The sequence below is a fragment of the Homo sapiens genome, chromosome X (genome assembly GCF_000001405.40).
Source record: "Homo sapiens chromosome X, GRCh38.p14 Primary Assembly".
In the NCBI taxonomy this organism is placed as follows: domain Eukaryota; kingdom Metazoa; phylum Chordata; class Mammalia; order Primates; family Hominidae; genus Homo; species Homo sapiens.
In genome coordinates, this window is record NC_000023.11 from 47,845,008 (window position 1) to 47,857,810 (window position 12,803).

Consider the following 12,803-nt stretch of genomic DNA (forward strand, 5'->3'; position numbering starts at 1 on the left):
TTATCAGATTTTTTGGTGGCCAAGTTATTTGAAGGAATTTTGTAAAAGTTCCATTACTATAAGAGAATAAAGTATGTTTTCCCTCTTGTTTTGGTATAACATCCTTTTTATGTTTTTAAAATTTAACTTGTTCATGCCTTTTATTTTATTTTACTCTTTATTTATTTTACTTTCTCTTTTCCTCTTCATCCCATTCTTACTTCCATTGTCTTAAGTTCCTCTTTTTTAAGTAGATATTTTTCCTTTCTTAACAAGAATGACTAAATCTACAGTGCCTCTAATAATTGATCAGAATAAAATTGTACCTCAACTTGGACACAGAGACACCCTCTCCTCCCTAGTTCCCTCAACGAGGAAACAGTTTTACCTCTGGATATTTTTGAGTTAATTAAAAAACTTTAGTCCCAGGCTATTAATATTTTTCTTATAGCATGTCTCTTCTGTTTCAAGAAATTTTACTTAACTTTTTTATTCTGAATTCAGGGTCATATTTTCAACATCTGTTAAACAGAACCACATTTATTTTGAACCTACCATGGAAAAGGTATCATATGATATAACTTTGAGGGCGTGAACTTTGGAGCCTTGGTAGACTGGGTTTGACTTAACACCACTAAACCTCTAATTCTGTGTGCATAAAATGAAATAATAATGATTATAACAACACACAGATGAAAGGATTGTTGTGTAAATTACCTGCTATTACATGCTTCCTTATAACAATACTTGGTAACATGTATTAAGTGTTTACCTGGGGCCAGTTCAGCGCTAAGTACCATTGAAACATAATCTCATCTAATTTTCATAACCACTTGAGATAAATATTTCAAATTCATTTTGAAAAATAAACCTGAAGCAGCTTTTTCATGTTCTCATAGCTAAAAGTTGGCAGAGCTAGAATTTAAACCTTTATTAATTTTAGTCCAAATCTCATGCTCTTGCTCATATTCTATTTTAATTGATAAGCAGAATATGTGTTTCTTGGACTTTATCTACTTCACAGTATCCAGTGCAGTGAACTGTACTTTGGTTCCCCCAGGAGATGTCTGTGTAGTAAGTGCTATCTGCCTCTGATCATATGGACACTGTCTTTCCAGAGTTCTTGGAGTCTCTGCGGAGTCCCTGGGCCAGATCTCACAGTGAAAGCTGCAGGATCTTCCTTCTGACCCCAGCAGTCCCCGTTGAGTCCACCGATCCCACTGGAATTATAAAGTTGTCAGCAAGAAAGCCCCAGGGCTGAAGTCCAAGTCCGTCGGGAACATGCCAGCTAACGAGGACGCTCCCCAGCCAGGGGAACATGGCAGTGCCTGTGAGGTGAGGAGGAGGAAGAGGTGCCCAGGGATTGGAATTCATCCACAGCCCTGAAGGAAAGATACTACCTCATAGTTTTCATTTCTAGTACTTTTTTTAGCAGGCAGGAAAATTTCCCCCCACCCTCATTTTTATTGGTCATTTATTTCCCTTTTGTGAATTTCCTTCTCCTGTCCATTGCTGATTTATTTATCTTAGCTTATGGATTTTAAAAGAGGCTTTTGAAAATATTTAGGTTAATAGCCCTTTATCATTCTTGCATATTTTTATGAATATTTGTTGTCACTTCGTAATTTGCAATTAGCTCTTAGTTTCATTTACAAGTGGTAAAGGTATCAAATAGTTCTCTAAGTCTTGTTTAAAGAAAAAAAAAAGCTCTTCCATGCTTTGTTTTCCACCAGATTCCAGCTGCCCAGAAGCAAGCACCCTTACTCTTTTTAATAGTTTTAAAGAATGTTTTGGGTGTTATCTATTGGCTTTCCACTATGGAAGATAGAGATTGAGCTTTTCTTTACACCCCTACTCACATACACATTTCCTAACTCCACCTCCCTAAGACAGGTATATCATTGTTTTGGTGAGATTCATGGTCAGTGTTGATCATTGAATCCCATGGTATCTATGCTGTGATGACTATTTCGGCACAACTTTTTTCTTTTCCCTGGAATTAACAATTTTCTGTCTCAGTCATTTGTTTGTGTTACTATATACACATCAATCATTTAACTCCAAATTCTTCCCTGGTGTTAAATCTCCTTTCTATATATTCAAACATATTAGGTATTAATCACAGTGATAATAATTAAAAGCAGTCATACAACATTTACTGCATGCCAAGCACTGTTACACGTACTCTACGTGTGTTCACCCATCTTCACAACAACCTCATGAAGTAGGTGCCATTATTATCTTTAGAGACAGGGTCTCACTCTGTTGCCCAGGTTGAAGCGCAGTGGCACGATCATAGCTTACTGCAACCTCGAACTCCTGGGCTCAAGTGATCCTCCTACCTCAGCCTCCCAAGTAGCTGGGACTACAGGTCCAAGCCGCCATGCCCAGTAGGTGCCATTATTATCCCCATGTCATAGAGGAGAAAACTGGGGCATAGGGGAAAACCATTTGGCCCAGGTTTACACAGTAAATAGCCAGTAATAGGTGGGGCTGCTCTCACTTCTGGGCATCACTGTCTTCTCTTTGAAGAAATCTCTCCTGGAGCTTGACTTGCTAAAGTCTGGACTGGTGTCTTTCTCAGTTTGATACAGAGCTGTTACCTTGGTGTCTTCCCTTCACCATCTCCCAGGAAATCCCCTTGACTTCTCTCTTGGGTCAGATCTGTTTCCTGGAGCTTGTGTCTTCATCTTCCTTGGCTTACCCCTTCATTTTGTGGGGAGCACATCCTTGCAAATGGATGCATGACAGGTACATTTTATGAAACTTTGCATGTCTGAAAATGTCATGCAGAAATATATTTACTGAATACATATAACTGTATAAATTTATGTGTAGAAATATAAATATGAATGCCATGGAAATATACCTATTTGATCCTGACACTAAATTTGTCTTTTTGGCTGAGAATAGAATTCTAGATTAGAAATAATTTTTTTTTTTTTTTAGACGGAGTCTTGCTCTGTTGCCCAGGCTGGAGTGCAGTAGCACAATCTCGGCTCACTGCAAGCTCCACCTCCTGGGTTCACACCATTCTCCTGCCTCAGCCTCCCGACTAGCTGGGACTACAGGCACCCGCCACCACACCAGGCTAATTTTTTTGTATTTTTAGTAGAGACGGGGTTTCACCGTGTTAGCCAGGATGGTCTCGATCTCCTGACCTCGTGATCTGCCCGCCTCGGCCTCCCAAAGTGCTGGAATTACAGGCGTGAGCCACCATGCCCGGCCTAGAAATCATTTTTATGCCCAATTTGAAAGCCTGTTTCCAAAGTCTTCCTAGGCCTTTTCTACTCACATGTACATTTTCTCTGCTTTTCTAAAACTCTTTTTATTTGGTTGTCGATGCTCCTTTGTAAAAATTATTTGCTTTACTGATTTCCATTTCTATCTCTTTTGTTCCTCCTTCTAGTAGTACTTTTTAAAAACTTTATCTTCCAAATCTTCTTTTGTGTCTCTCATTAATGCTGTTATATTTTTTCTTTTAAGTAGCTCTTTTTGTCTTCAGAATATTCCCGTGCTATTTTTGTTTTATGGATGCAGCATCATATCATTCTAAAGACATTAGTAGTAGTTTTTTTGACAACTTAATTTTTTGAATAGTAATATAGAAAAAATGGCTCAAATAATTAAAGACATATAAAAAGCTATACAGGTTGAGTATCCCTAATCCAAAAATCCAAAATCCAAAATGCTTCAAAATCCAAAACTTTTTGAGCACTGACATGACATTCAAAGGAAATGCCCATTTGGATTTTGGATTTTCAGATTAGGGATGCCCAACCTAAGTATAATGCAGATATTCTAAAATCTGAAAAAAAAGTCCAAAATCCCAAATACTTCTAATCCCAAGCATTTCGGATAAGGGCTACTCAAGCTCCATGGTCTAAATTCTCTTACCCATCTTTCTCCTGTCTGCTCAGCTCTCTCTAATACATAAAACCAGGTTAGTTTTTCTCTGTATGATTAGGGTTTCTTTATGCAGATAACAGCAGCTGAGAACACATTCTTATTTTCTCCTTTTTATGTCACAGAAGGTAGCCAATTAAAGAAATTTTTATCAATTTTTGTTAATTTAAAATATTTCAGTGAAATATAATATGAATTATAAGCAATGCTGCTAGGAACATTCTTCATGTCTCCATGCACATGTGTATACCCTCTCTTAAATATATACAGGGGGGTGAAGTTAATGGGTCATAGTTATGTCTTAAAAACGTTTTTATTGTGAAATGTAACATACATACAGAAAAGCATACAGAACAGACATGTATGGCCGAATGAGTTATCCTTCCATAGGCCTAGAAAGAGTCCATAGTTAGCATTCCACAATCCCTCTACTCCCAGAGCTAACTACTACCCTGACTTTTATGATAATCACTTCCTTTAAGAAGAAAATCACAGCTGGGCGCGGTGGCTCACACCTGTAATCCCAGCACTTCAGGAGGCTGAGGCGGGTGGATCACCTGAGGTCAGTCAGGAGTTCGAGACTAGCCTGTCCAACATGGTGAAACCCTGTCTCTACTAAAAATACAAAAATTAGCCAGGCATGGTGGTAGGTGCCTGTAATCCCAGCTACTTGGAAGGCTGAGGCAGGAGAATCATTTGAACCCAGGAGGCGGAGGTTGCAGTGAGCTAAGATCGCGCCACTGCACTCCAGTCTGGGTGACAAGAGCGAGACTCCGTCTCAAAAAAAAAAAAAAGAAGAAGAAGAAGAAAATCGCAATCCATAGAGTGGGAGAAGATATAAACAACAGAGGACTTATACCCAGAATATATCAAGAACAACAAAACAACAAGAAAAAGCAGAATACCCACTAGTCAGAGGCCTTCTTGAACAGATATGTAACAGATGAAGATATTCAGATGGCTAATAGACACGTGAGACAGTGCTCAATCTCATTATTCATCAGGGAAATGCAAATTTAAACCACAATGTAATACAACTACCCCTTACCACCACCACTAGAATGGCTATAATTTAGAACACTGACAATGACAAGTACAATGACAAGTGTTAGGAGGAGGAGCACTGCTCATGAGAATGTAAATTGACACAATCTCTGGGGACCTTTTAGCCTTATTCATCCGTACATATGTAGACCATATGAGGAAACAGTTCTAGGAAAACACCCACCAGAAATCCTTGGCTGATGTACCAGGACACATGTATAAATGCTCACTGTAGCATTACTTGTAACAGCCAGAAACTGGAAATAATGCAAATGACCATCAATAATAGAGTGGGGCCAGGTGTGACAGCTCATACTTGTAATCCCAACACTTTGAGAAGCTGAGGCAGGAAGATCATTAGAGACCAGGAGTTCAAGACCAGCCTGGGCAACATAATGAGACCCATCTCTTAAAAAAAAAAAAAAAAAAGAAAGAAAAATTTTAAAAATAGAATGGATAAATACATTGAACATAATATTGAGTGAAAGAAGGTAGACACCAAAGAATTTGTTGTGTTTATTTCAATTTATATGAAGTTTTAAGACAGGAAAAGCAAAAGCATATAGTATAGAGGGGTACATTTGTAGGTGATAAAACTTGAAAGCAAAGTGAGGAAGTGCTCACCATCTGAGGCAGAATAGTGGCTTCCTTGACCAGGGGCGTTGCAGGGAGGGAGGGAAAGAGGCATGAGTAAGGCTTCCGGCCAGGGAGCTGGCCATGTTCTATTTCCAGATTGTGGTGGTAATTAGGTTGGTATTTGCTTCAAATGATTAGTTAAGGTGAATATTTGTTTCATATGTTTTTCTGCATGAATATTATATTTAATAATAATAATCTTTTGAAAAGAAAAAAAGTACCCTCCAATTTTGACCCCAGTGGCCTATATATTCTTTCCCAAGGCAGCTACAGATAGTCTGTCCATACAAACACGTGCACTCATTCACAGGCACGCGCGCACACACACACACACACACACACACACACACACACACACACACAACCCAACACCCCTATATCCATTTTTAAACTGAAATATTAGCATACAAAATTTCCAGCACTTGCTTTTCTCCCTTAACAATAAAGCTTGGTGATTATTCAGTGTCACTACATGTAATGAGTTACCTCATTCCTTTACAAGGCTACGTCTTATTCTATTATATGAATATATCAAAATATGCTAACCAGTTTTCTATTAATAGACATTTAAATGGTTTCTAATCTTTTGCAATTGTACACAACACTGCAATGAATATCCTTATACAAATCTTAGTTAACACAAGAGAGAGTATGTTTAGAGAGAAATTTCTCCAAGTAGAATTCCCAGGACAGATGATATATACATTTTTACTCTTTTTGTTTTGTTTTGTTTACACATTTTTATTCTTAATGGATATGGAAAAATTGCCTGCCTCGTGGGTTGTGTCAGTTGTATGAGTGTCTGTTTTCACCATACCCAAGCAACACAGTGTCTTGTCATATTCATTTTTTCTTTTTGGTCAGTCTGATAGGTTACAACACAGTATCTCAGTATAGATTTAATTTACATTTCTCTTATGGCTGAGGTTGAATATATGTGACTGTGTTTAAAGAGCCATTTATATGATTTTTTTCTGAGACATTTTAAAATTTCCTTTTCCCATTTTTCTATTAGGGTGTTGCTATTTATGGAAGGATGTTACATGTGTCCCAGTTATTTTCCCCAACTTCCCATTTGTCTTTTAAATGAAAATGTTAGTGTTTTCTCTGTGCATTGTTTATGAATCTTTTCTGTTCTCCAAGTTTTGTATCAACTAGAAAAGCCTTCCTCATTGTTCCTCATTGCTCAGCTGTATTTGGGAAAAAAACCCTTACATTTTCTGTTTAATACTTAATTGTTTTTATTTTTTACTTTTACTGCTGCAACTAGCTGGATTCTTTTTGCTATTGTTGTAAAGCCTTAGCCAGAGATCTGTCTTAATTTTTCTTCAAGATGCCTACACATTTGTCCCAATACCATTTATTGAATAATCTATATTTTCCCCACTAACATGCAATACTACATTAGCATATACAGGCATACCTTGGAGATATTGCGGGTTCGATTCCAGACCACTGCAATAAAGCGAGTATCTCAGTAAAGAGAGTCATACAAATTTTGTGGCTTCCCACATAAAAGTTATGTTTATAGTATGCTATAGTCTATTAAGTGTACAATAGCATTATGTCTAAAAACAGTGTATATACCTTAATTTAAAAATACTACTACAAAATGGTAACAATCACATGAGCCTTTGGTGGGTCATAATCTTTTTGCTGATGAAAGGTCTTGCCTTGATGCTGATGGCTGTTGACCGATCGGGGTGGTGGTTGCTGAACACTGGGGTGGCTATAGCAATTTTTAAAAATAAGACAACAATGAAGTTTGCCACATCAATGAACACTTTCCTTCCTGAAAGATTTCTCTGTAGTATACAACACTGTTTGATAGCATTTTACCCACAGTAGAAATCCTTTCAAAATTGGAGTCAATCGTCTCAAACCCTGCCCCTGCTTTCTTTCAGTTTATGTAATATTCTAAATCACTTGCTGTCATTTCCACACTGTCCACAGCATCTTCACTAGGAGTAGATTCTGTCTCAAGAAATCATGTTCTTGGCTTATCCATAAGAAAAAACTCCTCATCCGTTAAAGTTTTATCATGAGATGGCAGCAATTCAGTCACATCTTCAGGCTTCACTTCTAGTTCTCTCGCTATTTCCACCATCTCTGTAGCTATTTCCTCTAGTGGCGTCTTGAACCCCTGAAAGTCATCCATGAGGATTGGAATCCAGTCTTTCCAGACTTCTGTTATTGCTGATATTTTAACCTCCTCCCATGAATCATGAGTGTTCTTAATGGCTTCTAGAATGATGAACCGTTTACAGGAGGTTTTCAATTTACTTTGCCCAGATTCATCCAAGGAATCACCATCTGTGGCAGCTATAGTCTTACAAAACGTATTTCTTAAATAAGACTTGAAAGTTGAAATTACTCTTTGATCTATGGGCTCCAGAATCATGTTGTGTTAACAGGCATGAAAACAACATGAATCTCCTTGTATATCTCCATCAGAGCTCTTTGGTGACCAGGTGCATTGTCAGTGAGCAGTGATATTTTGTAAAAAATCTTTTTTTCTAGCAATAGGTGTCAACAGTGGTCTTAAAATATTCAGTAAACTATGCTGTAAACAGATGTGCTGTCATCCAGGCTTTGTTGTTCCATAATTCTTTTTTTTTTTTTTGAGATGGAGTCTCGCTCTGTTACCAGGCTGGAGTGCAGTGGTGCGATCTCGGCTCACTGCAACCTCGCCTCTGCCTCCTGGGTTCAAGCGATTCTCCTGCCTCAGCCTCCCGAGTAGCTGGGACTACAGACACACGCCACCACGCCCAGCTAATTTTTGTATTTTTAGTAGAGACAGGGTTTCACCATGTTGGCCAGGATGGTCTCGATCTCTTAACCTCGTGATCTGCCTGCCTTGGCCCCCCAAAGTGCTGGGGTTACAGGCGTGAGCCACCGTGCCCGGCCGATTTGGCATAATTCTTAAGGATCTTAGGATTTACAGAATGGTAAATGAGCATTGGCTTCACCTTTTTTGTTGTTGTTTGTTTGTTTGAGACAGGGTCTCATTGTGTCAGTCAAGCTGGAGTGCAGTGACGTTATCATAGCTCACTGTAACCTTGAGGTCCTGGGCTCAAACAATCCTACCTCAGCCTCCTGAGTAGCTGGGACTACAGGCATGTGCCACCATGCCTGGCTAATTTTTAAATTTTTTTTTTTAAGAGATGGGGTCTTGCTCTGTTGCCAGGACTGATCTCAAACTCCTGGCCTCGAGCAGTCCTCCCACCTTAGCCTCCCAAAGTGCTGGGATTACTGGTGTGAGCCACCATGGCTGGCTGGCTTCAACTTAAAGTAACCAGCTGCATTAATCCCTAACAAGAGAGTCAGCCTGTCCTTTGAAGGTTTGAAGCCAGGCATTTACTTCAGGCATTTACTTCTCTTCTCTAGCTATGAAAGTCCTAGCTGGCATGTTCTTCCAATATAAGGCTGTTTAATCTGCATTGAAAATCTGTTGTTTAGTGTAGCCATCTTCATCAATGATTTTAGCTAGATCTTCTGGATAACTTGCTGCATACAGCTTCTATGTTAGCACTTGAGCACTTGCTACTTCACCTTGTACTTTTATGTTATGGAGATGGCTTCTTTCCTTAAGCCTCACGAACCAACCTCTGCTAGCTTCAAACTTTGCTTCAGCAGCTTCCTCACCTCTCTCAAGCTTCGCAGAATTGAAGAGAGTTCAGGTCTTGTGCTTTTGAGTAGGCTTTGGTTTAATTAAGGGAATGTTGTGGCTGGTTTGGTCTTCTTTCCAGACCACTCAAACTTTCTCCATATCAGCAATAAACCTGTTTCACTTTCTTATCTTTCATGTGTTCACTGGAGTAGGACTTTTAATTTCCTTTAAGAATTTTTCCTTTGCATTCACAACTTGTCTGACTGGTGCAAGAAGCCTAGCTTTTTAGCCTAGCTTGGCTTTCAACAGGCCTTCCTCAATAAGCTCAATCATGTCTAGCTTTTGATTTAAAGGGAGAGACATGTGACTCTTCCTTTCACTTGAACACTTAGAGACCACTGAGGGTTATTAATTGGCCTAATTTCAATATTGTTGTGTCTCAGGGAATAGGGAGGCCCGAGGAGAGGGAGAGACAGGGAACGGGCCAGTAGGTGGAGCAGTCAGATCACACACAGCATTTATCAATTCAGTTCACCATCTTCTATGCGCATGGTTCGTGGTGCCCTGAGACAACGACAATAGTAACATCAAAGATCACTGATCACAGAGTACCATAACAGATATAATAATAGGCCGGGCGCGGCGGCTCACGCCTGTAATCTCAGCACTTTGGGAGGCCAAGGTGGGCAGATCACGAGGTCAGGAGTTCGAGACCAGCCTGGCCAAGATGGTGAAACCCCGTCTCTACTAAAAATACAAAATATTAGCCGGGTGTGGTGGCAGGTGCCTATAATCCTAGCTACTCGGGAGGCTGAAGCAGAGAATTGCTTGAACCCGGGAGGCAGAGGTTGCAGTGAGCCGAGATCATGCCACTGCACTCCAGCATGGGCGACACAGTGAGACTCTGTCTCAAACTAAAAAAATATGTACCCTAAAACTTAAAGTATAATAAAAAAAATTCTAACAATCAAAAAAATAAATAAATTAATTAATTAATTAAATAAAAATAAAAAAACCCCCAAATCTTCCACCTTAAAAAAAAGAGAAGAAACAGATATAATAATAATGAAAATGTTTACAATATTGTGAGGATTACCAAAATCTGACACAGAGACATGAAGTAAGCACATGCTGTTGTACAGATGGTCCCAATAGACTTGCTCTATCAGGGTTGCCACAAACCTGCAGTTTACGAGAAACACAATATCTCTGAAGTGCAGTAAAGTGCAATGAAACCATGTATGCCTATACATACATTCCAAGATATAACTCTGAGTATATTGGGTATATTTCTGGACCTTATCCTGTTCCATTGAGCTAATAGTCATAATCTTTATTATTCTAATTCCTCTATATTTGTTATTTCTTCTAATAGATGGTAGGGCTGTCTCTGATTACCCTTTTTTTCAGGAATTTACTGTTTTCTTGATTGTTTTCTTTTTTGTACACAATTTATAATTTACTTACCAAATTTAAAAATAATTATATTGCCATTGTAAATAAACTTGCATTAAACTTATATCTAAGATAGGGCCATTTGCTTCTTTATGATAATTCAGATTTCCTACTAAAGAATTGAGTATGGGCTGGGTGTGGTGGCTTATGCCTGTAATACCAGCACTTAGAGAAGCCGAGGCAGGTGGATCACTTGAGGTCAGGAGTTTGAGACCAGCCTGGCCAACACAGTGAAACTCTGTGTCTACTAAAAATACAAAAATTAGCCAGGCGTGATGGTGCACGCCTGTAATCCCACCTACCCAGGAGGCTGAGGCACAAGAATCACTTGGATCCAGGAGGTGGAGGTTGCAGTGAGCCGAGATCACGCCACTGCACTCCAGCCTGGGTGACATAGTGAGACTCTGCCTCAAAAAAAAAAAAAAAAAAAAAAAAAAAGAATTGAGTATGTTTGCTTTTTTCAAGTAATCTTTGCATTTCCCGTTAATGTGTTAACATTTTCTTCAAAAATGTTTTGACATCAGTTTTTGTTTCTATTTTCTAAATGGAAAAAATGCAAATATATATGAATGTATATCATTATAAATTGAAACTAAAATTACAATTATTCCCACAGAAGAGATAGTTGAAAGAAAGTAAGTGAAAGGAAAAGCAAAGAATCCTATGATTCTCTTACTCTTTTTCAGAAGAATATAGATATTGATAGACTTTGGGAGAGAAACATGCATAGAATTCTGGTCTTATGTTGGGATGAGTGATAAGACTAAATGTAGAATGAATAGTAATTTTCAAATGAGCATTAAGGGGGAAAACACCAAAAATTTTATGTGCCAAGGAAATTAAAGGAAACCAAAAGAAATATTTAAATAGCAGAAATCCATCCTAGTGTTCCAATAATTACATATGGCTTAAAATCATTCATTAAAAGAAAAACATCGTCAGCAGATAGGAAAAAACAACTGAAAAATTCCCAAAGGTCCAGCATTATTTTATAAATGTGAGTTACATTTGAAATTAAAAGACCCAGCCGGGCGCGGTGGCTCATACCTGTAATCTCAGCACTTTGGGAGGCCGAGGCGGGTGGATCACCTGAGGTCAGGATTTCTAGACCAGCCTGGCCAACATGGCGAAACCCCATCTCTACTAAAAATAGAAAAATTAGATGGTGCTCACCTGTAATCCCAGCTACTCGGGAGGCTGAAGCAGGAGAATTGCTTGAACCTGGGAGACAGAGGTTGGCAGAGGTTGCAGTGAGCTGAAATCATGCCACTGCACTGCAGCCTGCGTGATACAGCGAGACTCCTTCTCGAAAAAAGAAAAAAATTAAAAGACCCAGAAAATATGAAAATGAAGGGACAGAAAATGATAGACTTGGCCAAAAAACACCAATAGAAGCCTGTGGCTGCAATTTTAAAACCTGAGCAGAGGGAATATAAGGTGAAAAACTTTGCAAGGTATGAAAGTAGATGGTTCTTCAAACTGTGAAATACCAAGAATTATAACATTTATCAACACATATATAGCTAATGATATATCCTTAAACTATGTAAAATTTAAACTAGGTGAAATAGTTAATTGTACCACTAGCCACTTTAACCCAGCCTTTTTCAGAAACTAGATGATGAAGCAAAGAAAAAAAAATTTTAAAACTTTGCTGTAATATGGATCATCACACAGAGCATGAAAGCATGAAATTAAAAATAAAAAGTAAGCAGCTAGTGAAAAATAAATATTCCCTATGCACATTAAAATATTTTACATAAATATGTTTAAAGAGAAAGCATAAATCACCTTACAAAATACATACAAGTAAACATCAAGAGGCACATTTCAAGGTTTATGCAGTAAAGCTAAACTTACAGGTGGACGGAAAATTATAGATTTGAATGTCCATTTATTCCTTTCCTATACCCATGAACTTTCCTTCCTGTTAGAAATGATCTTTCCACTGAACCCTTTCCCCTCCCTTCCAGTTATCTCCTCTCTTTCCTATCACATCACTTTTCCCCTTCTATGCTGGGCCATTCTCACAAGCATGCAACATGCAGAAATATTTTCCATCTGAAAAAATCTGCCCTTGACCCCTTATCCACTCCCAGCCAAGGCGTTTCACCAGAGGAATAAGTAATTCCTGCAAGCTCACTGACAAAACCTGTGACTTGCAAAACAGTTT

General features: G+C 38.6%; 1 protein-coding gene across 6 annotated transcripts in view; it reads left to right on the top strand.

The window, feature by feature from the left end:
* Window positions 1–12,803, top strand: part of ZNF81 (zinc finger protein 81) — an 88,726-nt gene that overhangs the window by 8,106 nt on the left and 67,817 nt on the right. For all 6 annotated transcript variants that reach the window (NR_165431.1, NM_001378154.1, NM_007137.5 and 3 more), the window contains one exon: window positions 1,098–1,314. Coding sequence is in view for 5 of the 6 variants with exons in the window: in NM_001378154.1 (NP_001365083.1) it covers window positions 1,261–1,314 (54 nt within the window). In the remaining variant the exon portion in view is untranslated. The remainder of the gene's footprint in view (window positions 1–1,097; window positions 1,315–12,803) is intronic.